General features: G+C 43.1%; 1 protein-coding gene across 15 annotated transcripts in view; it reads right to left on the bottom strand.

The window, feature by feature from the left end:
- Positions 1-26,849, bottom strand: part of SV2B (synaptic vesicle glycoprotein 2B) — a 202,978-nt gene that overhangs the window by 69,264 nt on the left and 106,865 nt on the right. For 11 of the 15 annotated variants that reach the window (NM_001323031.2, NM_014848.7, NM_001323032.3 and 8 more), the window contains one exon: positions 6,588-7,429. The exons of 3 other annotated variants lie outside the window; for them this stretch is intronic. In NM_001323031.2, coding sequence (NP_001309960.1) covers positions 6,588-7,038 — 451 coding nt within the window. In that variant the 5' untranslated portion in view covers positions 7,039-7,429. Of the gene's footprint in view, positions 1-6,587; positions 7,430-8,025; positions 8,191-26,849 lie in introns of those variants that run through there. One more of the 15 variants, XM_005254998.4, reaches the window with a different exon arrangement.

Below are 26,849 nucleotides of genomic sequence, written 5' to 3'. Positions count from 1 at the left end.
CAAAAATGTTTGAAGGTATCATGTACTCGGTCACCCAGATTCTTGCCTATTATAAGTATTTGATTAGATGTATCTAGTGATATTTTATGTATCTTCATTGCCACGTCACAACATGGACTATCAGTGCTCTCTTTACTCCTAGAAATAGAGTCAAAAGGGTCTTTAACGTCGAATCAACATAAGTGCCCATCAACGGGGGATTGGATAAAGAAAAGGTGGTGCATATACACCATGGAATACTACACAGCCATAAACAAGAACAAAATCATATGTTCTTTACAACAACATGGATGCAACTGGAGGCCATAATTCTAAGCAAATTAATGCAGGAGTAGAAAACTAAACACTGCATGTTCTCACTTATAAGCGAGCGCTAAATATTGGGTATTCGTGACATACAGATGGGAATAATAGACACTGGGGACTACTGGAGAGGCGAAAGGACTGAAAAACAGTTAGGTTCTTTGCTCACTATCTGGGTGATGGGATCATTTGTATCCCAAACCTCAGCATCATACAATATATCTATGTAACAAACCTGCACATGTACCCACTGAATCTAAAATAGAAGTTGAAATTATATTTTAAACGTGAAAAATTCAAAAGGAACTACTGCTATAACAATATGTCACACTCAAACAATAAACTCTTTAAATCTAATCAGATTAGAAAGCCAATTCCAGAAACCCCAGAACCAATTCAGACAACTCATCCTCAAAATTCCGCTCCTCTAGAAGCACTCTCAGTACCAAAATCACTGGGGCAGAGTGATCATCCTAAACCACAGGCCCCATCTTATCACCTCCTTCCTCAAAGGCATATTTCATAGCTCCCCATTAAACAGCTCTCCATTGCCGGTGGAATCAACTCCACACTCCTAAACACAGCAATCCGTGTACGTCTGCTAAGGGAGCCCTTCATTTTAAGTCTATTCTATTTCTTCTGATGGTTTTTGTTCTCACAAGAGCATCAAGTAATCAGTCTATCCTGAAGAATTACATGATCTAAACAGTATAAATAAGAACAACTGATATAAATCAAACACAGAAAGAAATACATGGACATTCCCAGTGGTGGATTTCACCATCATGAGTAAGTAGGTAAATACTTGGTCACTGAGGACATATTTTGTGCCACAGAAGTGACCCCCCTCCATGCCACCCCCTTCTGAGACACAGAGTGGCTCCTCCTTTCAGGAACTGACAATGAATTTAGGCCTAAAGAAAACACGGCTCATAAATCAAATATTATGCCCTGATGCTCGGCTAGAATTTGCATATAAAACAATCACAAGATAATCTTTCACGACAGCAGAGTAATATATCTATCTCTGAGCTGCTATGAAAATTCAGCTCACAATTTATTCTAATGAATCTGCCCCATCTGACATTGCTCTGTGTCCTCCGTATGGCTGGCACAGACACCATGCCCCAGGGGTCAACTGTTAGATTCTAAATCACTTTCTGAAAGGTATAACTCCCAGAGTCTTTTCACTGCAGACGGCAAGAAACTAACAGCCAATAAAATACACAAGTCACTGGATCCTTCCAAGAAATGAAAACTCTGCAGGCAAAACACGGAACTCTTGCCTGAAAGTGAAGCTCACTATTATAGGCATGAAGGTAGGGAATAGCCCACAGTTCCAGGTTGAGGTGCTTATTTGCAGTTGTGAAAAATTGGTGTCAATTTATCAAATGCAGGCAGAAAAGGATGGGGTTGGTTTGCCTTACGTGTCGCCAATATTGTCATCCTATAGGTTGGTGCAAAAGTAATTGCAGTTTTTGCCATTTAATAGTAATAGCTCCAGGGAGACAAGGCTCCCACACTCAAAAAATAAAGTATCTTTAAATCTAATCAGATTAGAAAGCCAATTCCAGAAACCCCAGAACCAATTCAGAAAACTCATCCTCAAAATTCTGCTCCTCTAGAAGCACTCTCAGTACCAAAATCACTGGGGCAGAGTGATCACCCTAAACCACAGGCCCCATCTTATCACCTCCTTCCTCAACGGCATATTTCATAGCTCCCCATTAAACAGCTCTCCACTACCAGTGGAATCAAGTCCGCACTCCTAAACATGGCAATCCGTTGTCAGTGATGTCATTTGTAAGAACCAAAGGGCTTACCTTGCCACATAGCCCTGAGCTTCCTAAGTTTAATCATTTCTTCGGGTGATTTTTTTTTTACATACCCAGAAAATGCATAATTATCCCATGAAAGGTTAAAATACATGTGGATTCACTCATCAACCACCAAAAACTGTGGAATCTCAGAAGAAAGACTTCAGATTGGCCCAAGGTCACACAATCATTAATAGAGCAATTGCAAAAACAAATCACCTAACTCCAGAACGCCCCCCAGCCCATCAACCTCAAGCTCTATCCCTTCACACTGTCTTTGTTTCCTTCCTATCTGAATAAAAGTGATAAGGCTGAATGTTGCATTGCATGATTATGTCGTGGTGTTTGTGTTTAACATCTCTGTGTGACCTCTATTTCCACCATTAGAATAAAACTCATTGAGTGCCAGGACTTTGTCTCCTTGTATTGCTATAAACCAGAGGAGTACCAGGCGTGTGGTAATGTTCAAACATTTTTTAAAAGAATGGGTGAAGAGTTTAATTAACAAATGAATGCCTTCTTCATTGAGAGTTGAAGGAGACCAACTCCTGGACACTAAGCAGGGTTGAGCCTTCAATGTTAACAATATACTCACAGATCTTTTTCTTCCCCAAGTGAGACAGTTCTAGATGAAGATCCAATAAAACATAACGCTCAAGAGAAGCAAACATTCATCTTTCTAAAAGCTCAGAAAAATAGGACAGCAGCACCCAGATATTTTTGTCACCTGGCCAAGGGATATTTCTTTATTTTCCAAATGGATTCATTCATTTCCAGGAAAAAAATAACAAAATATCCTATGATTTGACACTTGAATTTGGGAGTGGAGATTTCTCTTACTGAATTCCTTTCCTGGGCCATCAAGTAGGAGTCAAGAGTAAAGACATCACTTTCAGCGACTTTCTTTTTCTTTTCTTTTCTTTTTTTTTTTTTTTTTAAATGAGACAAGGTGTCACTCTTTCACCCAGGCTGGAGTACAGTGGCACAATGATAGCTCACTGCAACCTCCGTCTCCTGGGCCCAAGCAATCCTCCCACCTCAGCCGCTCAAGTAGCTGGAACTACAGGCATGCACCACCATATCTGGCTAATTTCTTTTGTATTTTGTAGACACGGGTTTCACCATGTTGCCCAGGCTGATCTCAAACTCCTGGCCTCAAGTGATCTTCCCACCTCAGCCTCCCAAAGCACTGGGATTACAGGCATGGGCCACCACACCCAACCAGAGAGTTTCTTTTTAAAACAGAGAGAGGATGGGGAAAGACAGAACTGAGTTAGCAGCACTCAAACATAAACAGCCTTTTCGCCAGCTGAGGCAGGATAGCTTGACCTTAGAAGTCTACCATAAAAAACATTGGCTGAAAGAAATTTGCAGTCTCACCTGAGAAAATCTGTTCCTGAGTCATTATCAAGCAATCAGTTTAGTAATAAGAACAACCACAATCGACAATAATAATAACTAAGATATCTTGAGCACTGATTAGGGGCAGGTACTGTTTTAGTCATGTTAAATGGATTAACCTTATTTAGTCCTCAGAATAATCCTATGAAGTAGATACTATTATTATCTCCATTTTGCAAACAAGGAAACCAAGGCACAGAGAAGCCAGGCAACTTTCTCAAAACCACACTACTAAGAACTGGCACAGCAAGGATTCAAATCCAAGCAACTGGCTCCAGGGCCACGTTGCTTCGTCATCTCACTGCAGCTATAGTTCACTGCAAATGCCCGATGGGAGAATGGCAGAATATAAAGTAACGAGAACTAATCATTGTTGAGAGGGCAACAAGCGCTGGTTGCTTTACACCTGCATTATCTCATTTAGTCCTCACAGCACTGCATTACTGCTCTTATTCTACAGATGGAAACACCGAGAATTAGAGGAGTCATAACTTGCCCAAGGTCACTAGCAGATCGATGACATGTAGGACGTACCCAGTCGCCAAACCCTAGAGGTTGGACTCCAGTGCCCACATCATTATCAGCATACCATGTTCCCTTTCTGTTGGAAGCAGTCTGGTGTTCCAAGTAATCTATGAGGTGCTTGATGACACAGAGAGCAGCCTGTGCACGGCATGACCTCCTTCCCACAAACGAGGCGTGAGAGAAAGGCAGTATGGTGTGGCAGAATGGGCATAGACTTTGAAGTCAAATAGACCTTCGGTCAAACCCCTGCTCAACACTTACGAGCTATGTGACCTTAGATAAAACTCTCTGAATCTGTTTCTGCATGTTCACACTGAAGGACAAAGATCATCTAACCGACATGGTGACTCTGAAGATTCCATGTGACAGCGTGTGGAAATTCTGGCCTCATGAAATCCTCAAATCATCCAGCCCCCTGGATCCATTTAGACACTCATTTTCTTGACCACAAAGAGGTTCCCACGAGTGCATAGGAAGTCCATCTATGTTCAGAGGGTCTGCCTTCTCCACTTGGGTGGAGTCACTGCATCTTCTGGGCAGACACTAAAAGCAAAATTACAAAAACCTGGACTCTCAGATTAAGACCATGTTCCCGCAACTCCCAGCATTTGCCCTAGGAGCCAGCAAGAGCTGCAACCATACTGCAGCCCTGTTAATGAGGCTGCCAGGCACCACGGTGCCAGAGAGACCAGCAGGCCATGAAATCATTACCGACATTGCCAATTTGGACTCACAGGGACCCAGGGTTTCAGTTGGGAATACTGCAAAACAAATTAATGTCTCAGAAATGTTTACATCAGTTGGAGATGGTTTTGTTTTGTTTGGGGTCTTTGGTTTTTGTTGGTTGTTTGTTGGTTGCTTGGTTTTGTCCTTTGAAAAAAAAATCTATTATTTATACTTAAAAGCAGGTAGCAGAATTTTTTAATATGAAAAAGAACTACACTAAAATTATGTTGGTGTTTAAAAACTCCAGGTGATATCTTTGCTTCTCAAGCCCTTTCTTCTGTTTGCATATACTCTGTCTCTTTTGGTGCCCTCAGGGTTATATCTGACACAGTTCTAATCATTTCAAATGGCCCTTTAGTTAAACACAAACGTGTAAAACCATTTTTAAGAGCCCCCAGGGACAATTTTTTATGCAGAGGTTCTTTATTTTATATCTCAATTTTATTTACAGTGGCCCTAAATCAGGGGATTGCAAACTGCAGCCCGCAGGCTAAATCTGGCCCACTGACCATTTTTTTGTAAATAAAGTCTAATTGGAACACAGCCCATTTGTTTACGTGTTGTTCAAAGCTGCTATTGTGCTACAGTGACAGAGTTGAGTGATTGTGACAGAGACCATCTGGGTCTGCAAGGTCTACAATATTTACTATCTGGGTCTTTACAGAACTGTTTGCTAGCTCTTGCTCTATAGCAAGTATCGGGGACCTGAATCGCACCAGGTATTTCATAGAGACTGTCCCTACAGTAACCAAATAATTCTCTGTGTTTGTTAATGTCTGTTTGTTCAACTACATGCAAATTATTTGAGAGACAAAAGCTATTTTCTTCCCAGATCCTGAGCACAGAGTCTAGCATAAGGTAAACCAATAAAAGATATTTGTTGAATGAAGGAGCTGAATTGCTAGATAGATTTTGAGCTCTTGAGGGTCATAAGCATGTCCTGGTCTTGAATGAGAATTTGACTTATAGTTAGTTCTCATAACTACATGTTTGCTGCACAATTAATTTCATAGACTCTAAATTTAGAGGGTAGATACATTTTTCAGGACATTTGGTGACTAAAGACAAATGCTTGTCCATATGATGATGAATCTTTTCTACATCACACCATTTGTGCACACCGTCTCTCTAATTTCACAAATCCTCTCTGCCTCAGCCTGATGCTGATGCTTGGCTCTGATGGTGCTGATCTCTTAATTGATTTGCAAAGCTGGTCCTCTATCCTGCAGAATCCATCTGTGCTTCACAGCATGGTTCCCAACAGCCTGCAGGGACTCCACGGGTGTGCTTAAGCCCACCATTCATCCCCAGGGTATGTGGGCATTCAGCCTACTAACATTTATGTACATGAGAAACCAGGAACAGACACCATCGGACTCTGGAAAGACACAGAGAGAAGGACCAAGTGGAAGAGACCAGCCAGAGATCTCTTCCCAAATGTATTTGTCATTTGGACATGGAAGAAGGTTTAATTTGCCACTCCCACATTTGCCACTCCCAAAATGTATTTGTCATTTGGACATCGAAGAAGGTTTAACATGAAGAAGAAAGAAATCTGACTCTCAAGGAGGCAACAAGATCTGGAAAGCAAACTAAGAGCTCAGAAGTCAGATAGACCTCAATAGAAACCTAAGCTCCAATACTTATTAGCTGTGCAAACTTAAGTCAATCAATTGATTTCTCTAAGACAAAAATTCCTTCACAGCAAAATGGGTACATTGTGATATATTTAAAGTGCCTAATAGTGACAGATACTAGATAAATTTTACTTCTCCTTCCCTTTCATTGGAGGGATCATTGGAAATTTCCACTTACCTAGCATTCCTTTTTTGGAACTGGACAGACACATGTCCTTCTCTGCACTGGGCAGGGCAAAACTCACCACGAACACTTCCACCCCATCGGCCATCAGGGCCAAACCCAAGACGAAAAAGAGGATCCACTGGAAGCGGCCATGGCCACACTCATCCATGATGGTCTCGTACTGGTGGGCCAACTGCTCCTCATCTTCCAGCCTCTCAGCCATCAGGTCTGTCTGGCCCCGAAGGCTGTCCATTCTGGAGGGCGCCATCTTGGCCTGCTTGGCCTTGACATCATCTGGGTGAGGGATACCCTGGTACTCGCCCTCATAGATCTCGTCTTCCTCATCATGGCCTTCGGTGACATCACTCTGTGCATCTTCTTCTGGGTTGGACTCATTGCCGCGGTAATAGCCATCACTGGGAGCATAGCCCCCATAATTGTCCTGATACTTGTAGTCATCCATTCCTTGGTTCTGCGACTGCCTGGTTGCCCCTTGAGCTATATCCCTCGCTCTGTGGTAGAGGTTTGGGCTATTTCAATAACCATCATTCATTATGTAGTTCAAATGTGAAATATGTTCATGTGACTTCTTAGGTGAAAGTCACACTGGTTCCCCCCCCCTTTATCTCTCAAATCAACCAGATTTGTGCAAAGACAACCTAAATATCCTTTTGCACTCGATGTCTGTTGGAAGTCTGGAAAGTTTCAAGCTCTGGTCTCCTTCAGAGACTCAGAAGTGTTGCGTTGGGAAGTGTTGATTAGAAATGGATCCAGCTGTTTTTCTTGACAGGGAGCGAGCAGGACTTGGCAGACTGCGTGCTGGCCTGATTTGTCCTGCCACCGAAGGTTATGCTCTGAGAACAGAGAGAAGGGATAGAGAAGAATTTACAAAGGTTGAAATTCTAACAAAATACTCTCAGAATTAAGCCAATATATTTGGTAATGCCAATGCCTCATGTGTAAGGTGGGAGAAATCTTATCAGACATTCAAATTTCTATCAACTGAATGAGGATTGAATCGGTGAGAGTGGAGGCTAAAGGAGAAGGAACCGTGGTCAGAGAGGCCCTTTGAAGCTCTAATTGACCCATGAAATGGGTGCAGCAAACCAGCATGGCACATGTATACATATGTAACGAACCTGCACGTTGTGCACATGTACCCTAGAACTTAAAGTATAATAATAAAAAAATAAAATAAAATAAAATAAAAATGTTATGCAAGAATGAAATATAAAGTGGTCAAGGGATTTATACTCTAAGACAATTTTGTATTATGGATTTTCTGTTAGAACTTATCAAGCCTTTGGCAATAGTGGAGGTTATTATAGCTGTTTCTGCTACGAAAATGCCGCTTTTCTAACTTTGTCGTGAAGTGGCTGTACGATTTAACATCTAGAAATGTATGGCCAAAAAAAATAGCCGGAAACATTTTTCTTGAATCCCAGCTTACTTTTGAGACTCAGCATTGTGGTTCAAAGGCCACTCTGTCCTCATATGAGGCTTAAACAGGCAGGAACAGGGGGCTGAGGATACAGCCAGATGACCTGGGTCTGAAACTCAATTCTGCTGCACAATGGTCCATGTGACCATACACGCATCTTTCCAAGCCTCAATTTTCTCCTGTATAAAATGGGATAACAATAGTACTTAATTCATAAGGTTGTGCATAAAGTACTTAGAATCGTGCCTGGTCTGCACGGGTAAATACTATTTAAGCCTTGACATGAGTGTTGCTTCTTTTTTTTCCCCTAGTTCCAATTCTGGACACCAGGAGGCAATGTTGTCTAGAGCCAAGATCTCATCCTATATCCCAATTCCAATCAGAGTCCCTCTGTTGACTCCTTTGCCCAGTGGATTCTCATTGTGCCTAGAATCTCAGGTTTCACAAGGCTTGGGGCCACCATTTATTGTGGCCTACTGTGTGCCAGAACATGTGCTGAGTGTATCACATCTCTTATCTGTAATTCCCACAACAGCAAAAAAAGAAAGAAAAAAAATCATCTGTATCTTCATTTGAGAGATAATCAAACTGTCTCCGAGTGGGTTAGTAACGCGATCAAGGTCACAGCATTAGGACCAGGTCACTGGTCCCAAAGCCAGCTCGTTCCAATGTCCTCATACTTCCCAGATGCTACCCCGAGGGACTGTCACATTAAATCACCTGGGGAGCTTTAAAAATACAGATTCCCAGAGCGTAATGAAGAAGGGCTGCTTCAAGCTCAGAAATCCAGATTTGCCCACAGCTCTCTCCAAGTGGCTCTGAGGCCCCGCCTCACTGAGTAGCCCCTCAGGGCTAGGCGTCAGCCCCTCCTACACCCCCTACCCCACCCCAGTGCTCCCAGCTGCTGGACCCTCTGATAGGGATAATGCTCGGACCTCACACATTGAGGCTACCAGAGACTCACGCCCCAGGTCAAACCACCTGCCCACAGTACAGACCCCATCAACCTTTACAGGCCTCCCTGTCACACCTGAAATCCACTGTCCTTTCAGCATGCTCAGCAGATGTCACCTCACAAAGGATTGGATACATTTGTCCTCACCATGGCTACTTGACTCCTCCCTCTGCCCACAGCCCATCCCTGGGCCCTCTGCCCCACACCTGCTTCCTGGCCCTCCTGGTCTTCAGCCCTGGACAGACTCCAGCACTGAAACCCATCTGACTCAGACAATACAATGCATTTCCTTCTGAGAGGATGGAAACCAGTGGTTCTCAAACATTACAGGGTGAAGCACCACTCAGAACGTGGGCGGCTCAACAGAAATGCCAATTCCAGGACCCCTCCCTGAAAGACACTGAATCTGCAGGATAGGGCAGGGCCCTGCAATCTGCATTTTCCACAAATAACACACGGAATCCAGGACTGCACTTTGAGAAACAGTGCCAAAGAAGCCAGCAAGAAATACTTACTAAGAAATGATTCGCACTCTACTCTTTCCGATTTTTCACCATCTCCAGTAAATAAATTTCTATTAGACCATGTTGGCCTGAACCACGTCAGATTAATATTCTAAATCTGTTTTTATTACATCTATTTAGGGACCACCGGCGGAATATAAGTCACATGTAAACAGCAGGAGAGTTTGCAGAGCGCTATAAAAACATGGAAAGAACGCCACCTGACTGAGATCTGGTGTGTTATTTCCATCCTGGGGGCCCTATAACAACGTCGTGAACCAGAAATGATAGACTTGCAATTCCAAAAGCACTTGTGGGACTCACCACCCAGGGCAAAGGTTCTGGGAGCTGCTTTGCAGAAAGAAGAGGATCTTCGTCAAAACTAACTCCACTCACCTGATTCAGTTAAAAGACCTGCTGTGAATGTCAAGTGCAGTGGAGTAAAGGGGAATCACTGTCCAGTGAGTGTTCATTTCTATTTCATTTAAGAAACACAACTATTAATCATTTTCAATGGTACTGGCTGAATTGTGTCCCTATAGCGTGAAGGTATGTTGAAGTTCTGACTGCCGGCACCTCAAAATGTGATCTTATTTGGAAATAGAGTCTTTCCAGAGGTAATCAAGTTAAGATGAGATCATTCGGATGGCTCCTAATCCAATATGACTGGTGTCTTCACAAAAGGACACAGAGACAGACACGCTCAAAAGGAAGACAAAGTGAAGACCCAAGACAAATGCCATCTACAAGCCTAAGGCTTCCCAACCTGCAACAGATTCTCTCTCACAGCTCTCAGAAGGAATCAACTGTGTTGACACCCTGATTCTGAACATCTAAGCTCCAGAGGTATGAAACAAATATTTTTTATGACAGGCCCAGGAAACGAATACATTCAACAAGCCTAGTGTTTATGAAATAACAACATCAAACAGCTATGATAAAACAACCACAAGTGCAACTGAATTGAGTACTAAGGTGAGCATTTTATAAGCAATACCTCATTTATTCTTACAGCCAATGGTAAAACAAGATTGTTCTCTCCGTTACACAGATTAAGAAACTGAGGACTAAGAAGATTGAAAAATGTGCCCAAATTAACACAGAGAATCAATATCAGGGCTTGGCTTTGAAATCCACGTTCAAACAGAATGTTAGGGATGATACAGAGTGAAAGAAACTAAGACGCCAAGAAGATAAGTCAAGGTCACACGCAGAGTCGCTGGCAGAGCTCACATTGACACTGAGTTTCCAACTCTTTGGTTAGGGTTTGCTCACCCATCTTCAACAAACATGTCCTGGGATCTTGATGCTGAAGGCATTACAGGACTATGACATGACTTGATCCCCATTCTCAGAAGATCTACCCCTAATGAGAGAGTTAGATTAAAACAACACAAAGCATCGTGTGGTAATAAAAATTACAATCTTGATTATTAATAATAGTATCTTTCATTTATTGAATACTTGCTTTGAGGCTTCGTGCCAGCGTCTGTGCTAAGTTTACCATGTGCTTTACATCTTTTAACCTGCACAACGACCGTATGAGGTGGGACTATTATTGCGCCCATTTTACAGAAAATAAGACTGAGGCTGAAGAACTTAGATAGACGACACAGGGCCACAAATATTTGTTCTCCAAGGGGTTCCAAAGGAAGGAGGGATCCTAGGGGCTGGGATCTGCTGAAATAGTATCCTAGAGGTAGTGGGGACGTCCAAAGGCAGGAAAGGGCTCAGAGAAACAAACAATGGAGAGGAAGGCACTGCAGGCTGGAGGACAAGGCTATGCAGAGGCATGGAGGCAGGATGGCTTTGCTTGTCTTGGCAGAATGAAGAGACCAGGTGGCCTACAGCAGTTGATCCAAGAGTGGGAGGTTATGGGAGACATGATGCGGAAGGAAACAGAAGTCAAGTCTGAATACCCTGCTCAGGGTTTGAAATTTTCTTTGAGAAAAGAGAGCCAGTGAAGGTTGTTAAACTGGACACAGCAGTGCAGTGCAGCAGGGCAGGGCTCTGGAAAGGTCCTCCTGGTGGGGATGTGGTCCTGGTTTTTAATAAAAAATCTAACGGCAATGAAACCAGGTAGAAGCTTTCATGTATGCACGTGTGTGTGTGTGTGTGTGTGTGTGTGTGTGTGCGCACATGCTTGGTAATAGTCCACAGGTGAGGTGAGGCCTGGACAAAGGTGGTGGCCATGGGGCTGGAAGGACAGACACAAGGGGACTCCCACAGGAGAACAAGTGGTGCATTTCCTATCAGGTGAGAAGGAAAGGCCGAGAGTGACTAGAACAATGATGACCCTAAGGAGCCAAATTCTGGACTGGAAACCTTTCCAGCATCCTATAATTCCTGTGTAATTAAGATTTAAAAAAAATATTTTTTCAGGCTGATCCACCATTTTGGTATGATTATGGGATGTACAACAGTGACTCTGGTCTTAGAGGGTCCAGGTTCCAATCCTGACTCTGCCACATCTACTACCTGCGTGCAAGCTATTAACTGCTCTGTGCCCCAGTTTCCTCATCTGTAAAATGGTTATAGTAGGGTCATTGTGAGAATTCAGTTGAGATCATCCATGAAGAGTGCTCAGCACAGTGTCTGGTACAGATGTGATCAATTTAAATCCGATCTAATAGCTATTATTGTTGTGGTCATCATAATTATTGTCTGGGCATGAGGGCTCACACCTGTAATCCCAGTATTTTAGGAGGCTGAGGTGGGAGGATTGCTTGATTCCAGGAGTTTGAGACCAGCCTGAGCAACATGGTGAAATCCTGTCTCTACAAAAAAATACAAAAAGTCAGCCAGGCATGGTTGCACACACCTGTAATCCCAGCTCCTCAGGAGGCAGAGGAAGGAAGATCACTTGATCCCAGGAGGCGGAGGTTGCAGTGAGCCAAGATCATGTCACTGCCCTCCAGCCTGGGTGAAAGAGAGAGACCCCTGTCTCAAAAAAATAAAATAAAATAAAATAATAAACATGAAAAATAAAAATTATGATTATTATCTAAGTATTGACAATTAAAATGTAGCCAAGTTCTAAGCTTGAGCCTAGCCTCATGCCCCATGAGATTTGGGGCCCATCAGGGCTGGGCTAGGAAACCACATACAGAGAAAAACAAACAAATATTGAGTTACTCCTAAAAACAACTACCTCCCATGCTGCTAACCTCTTAAGCATCCTCCTTTAACTTTTACATTCTATTAGCCTCCGCATCTATGCTATATGACTCAAAATCATTGTGCAGCAAACTCTTGCTTATTACTAAATATCACAGAAAACAAAGTTAAAAATATTACAATCAAATGATGTAATGCTTCCCAAAATCTGTTCTGTAGAGCATTAGGCTTTTAATATTCTCCTTTCAGTGAAAAATAGAATTCCAAGAGCAAGTAAGTTTGGGAAACACTGCATCTTCTATTCACTATTCTCTTTCAGAAATGCACAATGCACATTGCTATATTAAAGGCTATGAGAAGACCTGAACAAAAACCTGCTTGACCCCACAGTAAGATATCACTACACATCCATTAGAATAGCTCTAATCAACAGACAGACAATAGCAAGTGTTGGCTAGAATGTGATGAACTGGAACCCTCAGAAACTGACAGTGGGCATGTAAAATAGCCTTTGGAAGCTAGTTCGTCAGTTTCTTAAAATGTCAAACATACACTTACCAAATAACCCAGCAGTTCCATTCTGAGAATCTACCCAAGATAAATAAAAATATATGCCCACACAAAGACTTGGACACAAATGTTAATAGCAACATTATAATTGCCCCAAACTGGGAACAGTACAAATGTCCACCAGCTGATGAATGGATAAACCAAGTGCAGTGCAATGAAACACTGATTAGCAATAAAAAAGAAACAAATTACTGATACAAACTATAACCTGGGTGAACATTACGTCAAATGAAAGAAGCTAAACACAAAAGACCACGTGTTGTATGATTCCATTTAGATGAAATATCCAGAATATGCAAATCCATAGAAAGAAAGTAGATTAGTGGTTGCCCAGAGCTGTGGGTGACAGTGGGGAATGATTGTAAGTAAACTTGAGGAAATTCAGGGGTGTGGGGAGGGTGTTGATGGGAATGTCCTAAAACTGGATTATAGTGATGATTGTACAATTCTATGAATTTACTAAAAATCATCAAATTGAACACTTACAATGAGTGGATTTTATGGTATATAAAATATACCTCAATAAAGCTGCTGCCCCACCCCCAAAAAAATATTTAACCTATTAAAATCAGTGTTTCCCACTATCATGGGCTTCTTTTTCCTTGGAATCCTCATTAACATCCATGGAATATAGGCTGCTCTAAATAAAGATTTTTTTTCACTAGAATCTAAGCTCCATTCATCCCAGGATTTTGTCATGTCTTAAAAACCCATTTGGCAAGCATCCTGGAGTCTATTTGCATGAGGGACCAAGAGCTTCCTATTGGAAGAGAGAATTGCAGAGCACATCTTGGTCATAAGCCCGGTGGATTACTGCTGAAAGGAAGGATAATTCTGAACCTCTTCACCAGGCTCTGTCCAATCTTGATGGTGTATCAAGAGCCCAGAATGTGCCCAGGTGCAGTGGCTCATGTCTGTACTCTCAGCACTTTGGGAGGCCAAGTTGGGTGGATCACCTGAGACCAGGAGTTTGAGACAAGCCTGGGCAACATGGAGAAAGCCCATCTCTGAAAATCGTACAAAAATTAGCTGGGTGTGATGGTGCACACCTGTAGTGCCAGCTACTAGGGAGGCTGAGGCAGGGAGGATGGCTTGAGTGGCTTGAACCCGGGAGGCGGAGGTTGCAGTGAGCTGTGAGCATGCCACTGCACTCCAGCCTGGGTGACAGAGAAAGACCATGTATTAAAAAAAAAGAAGAAAGAAAGCAAGCCCAAAATATAGCAACTCTGCTGTGAACAATAACAAAAGATGGTCCCCTTAGCCAAGATACCAGATACCAGTATCCTCAGGGCCCACCCATAGAGAGCTGAGCACATCTGGTGGTCCCTTTAGCAGGAGTCGGTAGCATCTGTGACTTCACTTGCAGTCAGTTTTGGCAAGAGATTCACCCCAGTGAGTCAGGGCAGAAGAAGAAAATGGCAGACATCCCATGCTTAGAAGGACTGGATACCCTTGGGTACTCCTGGAACTATTTGGCAGGAATTTGGTGGACACTGAGGCATTATAGGGACAAAGCCCGAGAAAATGTTATTTGAGAACCTTATTGTAATTCTATTTTATATAAAGAAAGAGAAGAGTCAACACACTCAGACGGGTACTAATGAGATATTCATATGTGTCAGCTTTGTGGAAAGGGGTGAGGTTCCAGACACACTCCCCCAAAATTTGGCACCTTGGCATTTGAGAAAACAGCAGAAGCAGGAGGGGCTTTCTGTCCTTCCCCTTCCCCTTCTCCCCTGAAGCAGATTGTAAAAATGTGTTCTGACTTTCCTCTAAAGTAGGTCATAAAATCTTCATTCCAGAAGTGCCCACCCTATACCCACAGGAAAAGAATATCCTTATCTCTGAAGACACAGGGACACAGAGATGAAACTGAGCAGACAGGCCTTGGTAAATTCCCCCAGCTCATTCTCATGAGACCATGCCCTTTTGTCCTCCAATCATATTGCTGCACAACTGTCCAGAACAATAAACAGTTCTCCTGTTTTTTTGGAGAGTCTTCATTTCTGAAGGCTCCCATGTCACATAAAACTTATATTAAATAAATTTGTGTGCTTTTCTCTTGTTAATCTGTCTTTCATTATAGGGGTCTCAGCCACTATCCTAGCAACGATAAGAAAGAATACCTTTTACTTTAGTTCCCATCCTAATTGAGATGGTCATAGCAATAGTGAGTACTGAGTGAGGGCATGGGACTCCGTACAAAATAGTCTTTTGTGTTAGAGAAAGTCCACTGGACTACTGGAGACAGGACCTGAATCATAGTCCCATCCCTGCCATAAAGGCATTGAGGGAGCATGAATGAAGTCACTCACCTTCTGGGGTTCTCAGCTCCTCGCCTCTCAAGCGAGGGATTGTTCTGGACGATTTCTAAGACCGTGTCTAGCCATCTGACTCAATATTTTCTCATGTATCTGTGAAAATGCTTTGAAGCATCTAAGTAATATATAATAACAGAATTATTATTACATTAGAATATGACAGGATAATGTCTCTTTCAAGTTAAGAGCAACATTTACAAGCTGATTAGCCATTTGTTTTGGCAGTTTGGTGGCTGTTTATTCTTTTTTATTATTATTATACTTTAAGTTCTAGGGTACATGTGCACAACATGCAGGTTTGTTACATATGTATACATGTGCCATGTTGGTGTGCTGCACCCATTAACTCGTCACTTACATTAGGTATATCTCCTAATGCTATCCCTTCCCCCTCCCCCCAAACGTTCAGAATTACTCCAAGAGGTCCCATAGCATTGCACACATATTTCTATTATCATATTATACTGGAATTATTGGTGTCTCTTTGTTTATGTGTTTCTCTCTGCCAGGAGATTGTGGGCAGGTCCAAGATAGATAAAGCACTGAATTTTACTTATCTTTGAATCACCAAAACCAAACAGTCTTGAACATAGAAGATTCTCAAAAAATGTTTGCTTAATGAACACAGTTAATAGTTATTCAGGGCCAGGCGCGGTGGCTCACACCTGGAATCCCAGCACTTTGGGATGCTGAGGCGGGCAGATCATCTGAGGTCAGGAGTTCAAGGCCAGCCTGGCCAACATGGCGAAACCCCATCCCCACTAATTAGCCGAGCGTGGTGGCACACACCTGTAATCCCAGCTATTCAGGATGCTGAGGCAGGAGAATCACTTGAACCTGGGAGGCAGAGGTTGCAGTGAGCTGAGATCGTGCCACTGTATTCCAGCCTGGGCAACAGAGCAAGGCTCGGTCTCAAAAAAAAAAAAAAAAAAAGGTAGTTATTCAGTGCCTTGCTGATGTTGAAAATGGCCCATGAGACAGAATGTCCCTGCCTTGAATAAATAGATGAACTGGTTTAATGCTATGCTTTACTTTTGTTAAAAAAAAAAAAATACAAGTTAAATTGCCAGGTACAGTGGCTAGCACTTTGGGAGGCCGAGGCGGGCAGATCACCTGAGGTTGGAAGTTCGAGACCAGCCTGACCAACATGGAGAAACCCCGTCTCTACTAAAAATAAAAATTAGCTGGGCGTGGTGGCACATGCCTGTAGTCTCAGCTACTCAGGAGGCTGAGGCAGGAGAATCACTTGAACCTGGGAGGTGGAGGTTGCCACGAGCCGAGATCACACCATTGCACTCCAGCCTGGGCAACACAGCAAGACTCCATCTCAAAAAACAAAAAAACAAAAAAAAAAGAAAAGAAAGAAAATGTACAAGTTAAATTAAAAGTTCAGTTCTTTGGACACACACAGAGCCATTTACTTTCTCACTTGCCTGTAGTCCTTCTATTTACATCCACAAGTTCCCAGCTAAGATTGCTGGGGGTGCAGTGGTTCTACCGACTGACTGCTTGAGTTACTTGTTATCAACTTTCTGACCATAAAATATGTTTTAACCACCTGTGATGCTTCCTGAAATACCCTGCTTGATGTTTCTGGGGTAGATTACATCAACCCGTGGGCTGAAAATACCAGGGCTTATTTGGCTGGCATGGGAGACAGTGTTCTTTGAGGCTTCCAACAATTGCTGCACTCGCCCCACTTACAACAGTGTTGGTTCATGAGTATTATATTAAAAATACTTCTTTCTTCTAAGCTGAATCATCCATCTATTTTCTATTTTGTTAAAACAGAAAGCTAGTTTTCAAGGTGGGAGAAACAATTGGTTATGAAATAAGAACCAAACCCTGCGAATTTTTTTGCTGGAGAAAAAAACAAATACTTTAAAGTAATACCAAATACTTCAAAGTAACATCAGACTTAGTCTGAATTTTCATAATGGTTTTTAGTTTTAAATACAAATGCAGAACAATAATTTATGGAGAAGTATGTTTATCAAAACATTATTTATTACATCAACCCTTGAAAACAAGCCATACGTCACATAACAAGGGTTAGGTAAATAAATATTAAGATATTTATACAGCTAAATCTTATGGGAATATAAGAAACATGTTTTTGAATGACTTTTTAAGAAAAAAAGAGAAAATGATGACACTATAATACCAGGTAAAAATGCTAGGTAGATCATGTATTTATGGTTATACTAATAGTATCCATAATATTATATGAATATGTATTTATACTATGCAAATATTTCTGGCAGGATGATCAGTTAAGATGTTAATGTTTGCCAATTCCCCCCTGAAAAGTGTATTTTCTCTCTCTCTCTGTTCCTCTGTGTTCCAAAACCTAGCCCGTATTTGTTTTCTAGTGTGATCCTTAAACCACCTGCAGGAGAGAATCACCTGGTGTTAGCTAAATGCAGACGCCTGGCTCCCATTCCAAAACTGCTAAAACAGAAGGAGGAGGGAAATCCACTTTATCTCCAAGCTCCCAGGGTAATTTTTGTGCTCACTCAAAGTCAAGAACCTCTGGCCTAAGTTCTTACCCCAGGAAACAGTTTCATTGTGATTCAAGTGCAAGGCCAAAGAAGACCTCACCCAAGCCTTCAGAGAGTTAATTAGCTCTTTGCAGGAGCTAAGCTGGTAGGGAAGGGGATGAGGGGCTGGTGCTTGGACTTGTGGAGATGCCCAACCACAAGGACAAAGACTCCTGGACGAAGGAATGTGAGCTCTCCAAGAGGAGACAGAACCTGTCCCTCCTGCAGGCAGCGCTCCGGATGTGGGATAGCTATGGGATGCCTGCGAAGGCCGTTTACCCTGCAGCCCTGGGGTCAGCAACAATGGTCCCAGCCTGCAGTACGACTGGTAAACAGAATCAAGAATCACTGAGCAGCGTCTCTTGTAGTTTATCCAAAACAGAACTGCCTGGCAGATGGCAGAAGGCTTGCTCCTGAAGGCAGCATTGAGGAGCAGAAAGAACGAGGAGAACCACTGTGGCTATAGCCATGGACTAAGGAGTCAAGCACACCCCCCACAACTGTTTGGGGAACACTTAAATAAGTGAGCCAGTGGAATGGGGAAGGAAGCCCTAACAAAGACCAATTATGGGCAGCTTGCCAATCCTACTTCGTTTTGATTTCATCGGGAAAACAATTGTTAATGATATTTCTTGCCATACAGTGGCTGTTGTAAAGCGAATTCTTGCCCACTGCATTTCTTTACAGATACCAGCTCTGCCATTCGCAAGTTCTGTGAATCAGAGCAGGTTTCTGAACCTTAAGCTTCAGTTTCTTCATGTGTGAAATGAGGATAATAAGGATTCCTATTCATTGCATTGTTATGAGAATTAAATGAGTTAACATTTTCAAAATGTTTGGCACAGTGTCCATCACCAAGAAAGAGCTCAATAAAAATAGCTATTGTTATATAAACACACACACAGATATGCCTTCCTAGGTATTCCCTAATTCCTGCAGAGATGCATACCACACTCTAAAGGACAACGAGACCCTTAACCTCACTCCACAAGCAGCAAATCTGAGGCCTTCTTGGGTGAGACCCTCTGGTTTTTTAGCACTTCCACTCTGCTGGAACCCTGCCCTGAATCCTCATCCCCAGGTTGGGGTCACCACTACCCCACTCCACCAGTCCATGCCAGCTCCCTCCTCTAGAGATCCGGAACCGGTCCACTTCCCAGTAGTCATGAGCTGATATTTTGTTCCCATATGACTGATTTCCAAGTTAAGTGTTTCCCAAAGTGGAAGATGCTACCTTTGATGGTATCTGACATGACTTCAAAAGGTGTTTGAACATACCATTCAATAACACTGAATCACATAGAGAAATGGTGATTCCATTTTCAGGGTTCTTTCAATCCCTTTTGATTGTCAAGGAAAAAGCCTCCTTTTGGGGGCCAGCACAGCTCTACCACTTCCTTGCTAACTTGTTAATTATCCTTTTGAATGAAATGAAAACAAGACTCAGGTTCAGAGCCTTTAAAGGGAATAGTATCTGGCTACCATCAATAACATAACACTGTATTATTTTTACTGTCTTTTTTTATAGTAACCCTATATTTATAGGAGTGGTATAGTATCTTTACTAAATGAATGCAGTCAGTTAGTAAAAATGACCTGAATTTTTAAAATTAAGTAAGAGGAGTACAGGAGGTGGTATATGATCTTTGCCAGGGACATGGTAAAAATTTTTACAGATGAATTATGGACATTTGGCAAAGACCACCCAGACAGGAAGTGCTGCCTTCGAGGTGGAGAGAAAGTAGCACGTTCTGAGTTGAGCACTTTAAATTTATCATCTCATTTCAACTTTACAACACAAGGAGATACATACCTTTACCTTTGTATTCCATAGATAACTAAGGCTCAGAGAGGTTAAGTCACTTGCCAAGGTCACACAGCTAGTAAGTTCAAGAGTCAGGATTCAAACTCACCTGCTATACCAAACTGCCTCTGCTACACCCTAACTGCATCTCCCACTGCCAGATAGGTATCTCACTGGAAAGTAACACCAGCTTGAGGAAAAGTTAAATGTGCCCATGAGTCTATTGGTCCTATTGGGAAGCCAACTTAGAGCCCAGCCTTGGCATCCTGACTTCCTCTATTCTCTCTCTTTCCTATTTTTTATTTTTGTTTATTTATTTTTCTGAGACAGGGTCTCACTCCACCACCCAGGCTGGAGTGCAGTGGCACGATCTCAGTTCACTGCAACCTCCACCTCCCAGGTTCAAGTGATTCTCTTGCCTCAGCCTCCCAAGCAGCTGGGATTACAGGTGTGAGCCACCATGCCCAGCTAATTTTCGTATTTTTTTTTTTTTTTTTAGTAGAGACAGGGTTTCACCATGTTGGCCAGGCTGGTCTCAAACTCCTGGCCTCAAGTGATCCCCTTGCCTCGGGCTACCTTAGTGCTGGGATTACAGACATGAGCCACCGTGCTCAGCTTCTCTTTTTAAAGTCACTTTCTTTTTTAAAATATTTTTTTCTTTTTCTTATTTTTTAAAAATTTTTTTATAGAGACAGGGTCTCACTGTGTTTCCCAGGCTGGTCTCAAACTCCTGGGCTCAAGCGATTCTCCTACCTCGGCCTCCCAAAGTGCTGGGACTACAGGAGTGAGCCACCGTGGCCAGCCAGCTTCCTTTATTCTCTACCAGAACATCCCTCTACAATTCCACTTTACCTTGCCATTAAATACACCCAACAAAGAGCACTTACTGTAAGCAACAACTGAACATATCCCTGTATGATGACGCAGGAACACGTGTGCCCTAAGTAAATGCTAAGACTGACAGAATTAAACAGTGAATCTTAGCAAACTTGAGTCCTGTCAAGTTACCTAATGATGGGACTCACATGGGGGCCAGTGACTCTAGCAGGAGCACACAGGGACTTTAGTGGGAAGGCAGCAGACATAGGTAGGAAGGAAGGTAGGGCCAGGTTGGAAAGGAGCTTCAGTAACAACAGAGGGCCGGCTAATTGACACCTAAAACTTGAAAAGTGAAGCCCACAGAGATAGATTTGGGGTAAGCCCAAGGAAGAAAGAGAGCAAGTTTTCTGGAGAGTTTTCATTCTTGCTTTTGTTTTTCCTGAGAAGCAATATTTCTTTGGAAAGAAAAGTCAGAGCTATTGAAATGGAAGCCTCTGCTGTTGCACAAATCTACCTGGAGGCTCATGGCACACAACATAGGTTTATCTAAGAGAGCATCTAGAAACAGGTCATATTTCTGATGCACTTCAATCTCCCAGAGCAAAGAAGAGATGTTATAACCTGGTGGGCATTTCAACATGCATTTTTTTTTCTCACAGTAGAGTTGATTCAAAAATAATTCTTCTGGCTGAAAGTCTAGTTTAAAAATACTGAACATCTGGGTGCAGTGGCACACGCCTATAATCCCTGCACTTTGGGAGGCTGATGCGGGAGGATCTCTAGAGGCCAGGAGTTCGAGACCAGCTTGGGCAACACAGTGAGACCTCCAACTCAAAAAAAAAAAAAAAAAAAAAAGCCCAGGCGAGGTGGCTCATGCCTGTAATCCCAGCACTTTGGGAGGCTGAGGCGGGTGGATTATGAGGTCAGGAGTTTGAGACCAGCCTAGCCAATATGGTGAAACCCTGTCTCTACTAAAAATACAAAAATTAGCTGGGTGTGGTGGTGGGCACCTGTAATTCCAGCTACTCAGGAGGCTGAGGCAGAAGAATTGCTTGAACCCGGAAGGCAGAGGTTGCAGTGAGCCGAGACTGCGCCACTGTACTCCAGCCTGGGCGACAGAGCGAGACTCCAACAAAAAAAAAAAAAAAAGGAAGAAGAAGAAGCAGCAGCAGCAGCAGCGGAGGAAGAGGAAGAGGAGGAAGAAGATGGAAGAAGAAGGAGAAGAAGAAGAGTTTAAGCCACTAAGCCAATGGCAGAATTGAGTGTGATCCTGAAGACTGCCATGGCTATCATCAAATGAGTCATCAAAGAGAAGGCCACACACCCATGATCCCCTTCTCATGAGGTTGACAAACTCTGCCTGCTGACACTTCTAGCTTTTAAATTCTGAGACTAGCAAGGAAGGAAGTTCTGGGAATGAGCCCTTCACTCCATTCCACTGGCACTGCCTTAGCACAGCTCTCACCTCAGTTCCCTGACACCATCAGCCCCCGCCTCATGGCCTAAACTCTCTTAGCGGCTTCGAAACTACTGCCGTTGATTTGGCCATACAGGACCCTTGCTGAATGACACCCTGCCCACCTCTCCAACTTCATTTTCTCCTTTTCTGGTCGTCCCTCCCTAGGGGTGTGGCCTTACTTCACTGTCTTCATCAATGGCAGGCATTGATTCCTCCAACACTTCAGGGGCACCTACTGCCTGGAGGGCCTATGCCAGGCGCTGGGAGCACCCAGGAGAATAAAACAAGCTCCTGCCCTCATGTCCCGTACAGTCCAGTGAACAGATATTTTAATAAGCCTAAGAACAGTAGACTTTCTATAAAGAAAGGGCTCTCTCTTCACACATAAGATATTCTCTAGCTTCTGGTTCGTTTGAACCTTTGGAGGCATATCAAAACCAGTAAAAACTCAAAGCTGGCATGAAACTGAGGAGATGCATTGCTCCAATAGGGGACACTGGCTGGAAATTTGATCTCTTCCTAAAAGACTCAAGAAACTTTGTGGATACAGATGTAGGAGTTACCGAGGTTAAGGGAGGCTGGGAGATGGGCAGGCTAGAAGGGATGATATCAAGGAGGATCCAGGATCATTCCCCAACACACCCCAGATGCAAGTCTGAGAGCAGCTGGCAGGCTAGAAAAACCACCTCTTTATGTCTCAATTTGCCTCTGCTCTGACTTTAGCCTTTCTTGAAACTACCCTGCCCTTTGCTGCAGTCTAGCCTTGCAATAACCCAGCCGTGGAAATTCCCTGTCCTCTAGGATTGCCTGCCATCTGTACTCTCCGCAGCTTAGACCGAACTACTTACCACCTCCTGCTTGGTTCGGGACCCCGGTCCCTGCTGCCCAGTTACGGCTCCACCTCATAGACTGTCAGTCTACAGCTCTCCCAGCCTCTGGAAACCTCCCCATCATTTCTCACTGGGGAAATTATCAGTAGTGGCCTCACAGATTATCTTGCAGTCCCATCTAGTTACCCGAAATAATAATTTTTGTTTAAATTCACCTCACTGTGTTCCAATTCCTATCTCCATCTCCTAATTATCCTGCCATAGACTCAGCCCCCGGGTGTCATTGGCCCTGTGGTTCTCTCCTGCCTGGACACTCACAAGCCCCACTCCAACAGATCCCTGCTCTATAATTAGTCCCCCTCCATCTCCCCATTCTCTTCCCCAATTCAGCTTAGGCAAATTATAAACTTTGTAATTAGAAAAGGGTAATGTGTTGCCAGGAATGCAAACATATTTAGTGCTAAAGCCTAGTGTTTTGTGCAGTTCTGGGCTCTGCTCCAAATCCTGGAGTAACGAAGAAAGATAAGGGGAAAGGAAGAAAACCTTTAATGAACTTGTAGTTTATGTCAGGAGCTTCTCACTCACGATCTCATTTAATTCTTTCAAAGACCTGAGAATTTGGGTTTAGGTAACAGGAGCTGAGAAAGGCCAAGAGATTTGCCCAACGTCATACCCCTGGAGAGAGGCAGAGCTAGATTCAAACCCAGGTCTCTACCTGGCTGTCTCTGCAGTCATATCTGGGCTTCCCCATATATTACAGAATATCACATATTATCTCAGTCTGGCACCTGACAAGCTCAGCTAATAGTGTGATGAAATTCCTCAACATGCCTTTTCAACTGTTTGGCTTTCCTATTCAAATTACTCCTACATATTTGGCAAGGAAAGATTCCAAATAATGTCAACACTCGAAAACTCTGCTTAAGCCATCAAAACTAGTACTGCCAGCCAGGCGCAGTGGCTCACACCTCTAATCCCAGCACTTTGGGAGGCCGAGGTGGGGGCATCACCTGAGGTCAGGAGTTCAAGACCAGCCTGGCCAGCATGCTGAAACCCTGTCTCTACTAAAAATACAAAAATTAGCTGGGCATGGTGGCACATGCCTCTAATCCCAGCTAGTTGGGAGGCTGAGGCAGGAGGATCACTTGAACCTGGGAGGCAGAGGTTGCAGTGAACTGAGATCATGCCACTGCACTCCAGCCTGGGCAACAGAGCAAGACTCTGTCTCAAAAAAAAAAAAAAAAAAAAAAAAACAAAAAACAGTACTGCCACAGTCACTCATTGTAACTGATGGCTAACTGGCAAGCAACTTGAGGACAGAGTCTATCTCTGACTCTTCTGTCACCTATGTAGCAGGAAGCAGGACCTGGCACTGACAGGTACATAATAAATAAATTATTACCAAAGAAAAAGAAGAAGATTGCATTCCTGCACAACTGAAGCCAAGAATAGTGGAAACCCACGTAATCCATTGTGGCATCATTTAAACTGTCCGTGGATACTGAAATGAACTCCAACACTGTTATGTTTTGGAGTCCTGAATGGAGCAGAAGAAGGAGATGAGTGTGAGTGAGCCACCCAGCTGGGTGACAGGGAGAAGATCATTTTTTTAAAAGATGCATCTTCATTGCCCTCCTATTGCTAAATTGCTTTCTTACATAGAGGGTTGTCATATACAAGGAGGGGGAAAGATGAATTTTTGAGAAGACCTGGCAGGAATATTGTTGTAGGCTCTTCAATAGCTACTAGACTCATCCTAGAAACAGATGGCACATCACTGCAACATGCTGCATGAAGGACAATTCCTGCATCAGGCATCATCCAGGGTCCACCCCCAGAGCTGCCTGCTGCTGTCATCCGGAGTCTTGAAACCAAATACATGATGTTTTCTGTGTTCCATGAATATGAAACTGTCATTAGCAAAATGATCTTTAGCAACTTTCACCTCTGAAATCAACTAACATCATGTTGTTTTATTTTCAAGGGTGGGGGGAAAACACTTTTCTCTTCATCATAAATCACAAAGCAATGATTCCCCGAGAGATATAAGAAAAAAGAGGTTATCTGCAAGCTGTTGTGCATATAAATAGAGGTATAGACACACCAGTTTTTGCAAAATGCAGAGGGCTTAGTGGTATCTGCTGGGGAATTTGAAACCAGCTGCTCAGACACCGCTAGGTTTCTACTACATCGTGAAAGCTCCAGCTGTTTCCACTGAGATCACAGACGCGGGTGAGACTGTCGATATTGATGGGGTGCAGAAAATGTTACCCAAAAATATGGCACCTTGGAAATTGAGAAAACAGCAGAAGTAGGAAGGCCTCTCTGCCTTCTCTGACCCCCTTCTCCCCTGAAGTGGGCCACAGACACTAGAATTCCACTTGCCCCTTCTTCCCTGATGCAGGCGATAAAACCTGGGAAAGTCACTCTCTGACCTTCTTCCTCACTTCTCCCCTGAAGGCCCTCCTGTGACAGGTATCCTGCCCTATACCTGAGAGGGAGAATTGTCACATAGGTTGTCAAGAAGAAACTGAACAGGCCTTGTTAAGTTCCTCCCCAGTTTATTACCAATAGAGCATGCTCTTTTGCCCTCCAATCATACTTCTGCATGACTGTCCATAAAAATACACAGATTCCCTTGTTTCTCTGGGTCATGATTTCTGAAGGTTCCTGTGTCACATAAAACTTACGTTAAATAAGTTGGTATGCTTTTATTTTGTTATTCTGTCTTTGGTTATGGGGTGTCAGCCATGAACCTTGTGATAGGTGAGGAAAAGAAATTATTTTTCTTCCCTACAACATCAAGCTGACCAAACAGACTTGGTGGATATTGCCCCCGATAAATTGACCCTTGGTATGCCGGCGAACAAATTGTTTCCTTGGTGGGGACCACACAGACCACACACACAGGCCTTTTTCAGGTATAGGAATTAGAAAGAGTCCTTCCTGAGCCAGTTTTTTGCTCTTAACACAGAATGCCTACCACAAAGGTATTCTTCAGTCCCACCTTTTTAGATATCCGACAGAAAAAAAACATTGTTTTAAGACCAGGCACAGTGACTCACACCTGTAATCCCAGCACTTTGGGAGGCCAAGGTAAGAGGATCGCTTGAACTCAGAAGTTCAAGATCAACCTGAGCAACATGGTGAGACCCCGTCTCTCAAAAAAAAAAAAAAAAAAAGCCAGGCATAATGGCGTGTGCCTGTAGTCCCAGCTATTTGGGAGGCTGAGGAGGGAGGATCACTGGAGCCCGGGAAGACTGCAGTGAGAGCTAGGATCTCATGCTTCTGCACTCCAGCCTGGGTGACTCAAAAAAAAAATTTTTTTAAAGGAAATTGCTCACAATCCCATTTCACATCTTTCATCTTGCCCTCAGTCTCAACCAAAACTCTCCCTTCTCACTCTCTCAAGCCTCTCTGGAAAATGCATATACTTAGGGTTGCATCAATCTGCTTTTCTATTTGGGATGATGTGTCCAAATAAAAGATCCTAACATCGAACATCAGCCTTCAAACTTCTCTGTTGATCAGGGGACACATTTCCCCTCCTAAACACCTGAAATTTAAATATGCTCTTTTATGTCATATAATATAATCAAGTCAAGGGAAAACATAACAGGTACTAGGTCGAACATTTATATCCTATGAGTATACCAGCTAACAAACCAGAAGATAACTCCATTATCCTTTTAATGGACACCCACCCCAAACCCCACTCATTCAAAACATTTTTATGACTATTAGCTTCCAAGCAGGCATTGCCCACAACCTCCCCAGATGGATGGGCTTCCTCAAATCCCAAGCAAACTGCAAGTTTTTAATCTGATTCTAATCCAAAGAAATTCCTGAAGAGGTTTCTGACTTTTACTGAACTGAAATTCAAAATAGAAACCACAGTCAGGCCTCTGAAGAGCA

Source organism: Homo sapiens, chromosome 15 (assembly GCF_000001405.40).
Source record: "Homo sapiens chromosome 15, GRCh38.p14 Primary Assembly".
NCBI lineage: Eukaryota > Metazoa > Chordata > Mammalia > Primates > Hominidae > Homo > Homo sapiens.
This window is presented reverse-complemented; position numbering and strand designations above follow the sequence as displayed.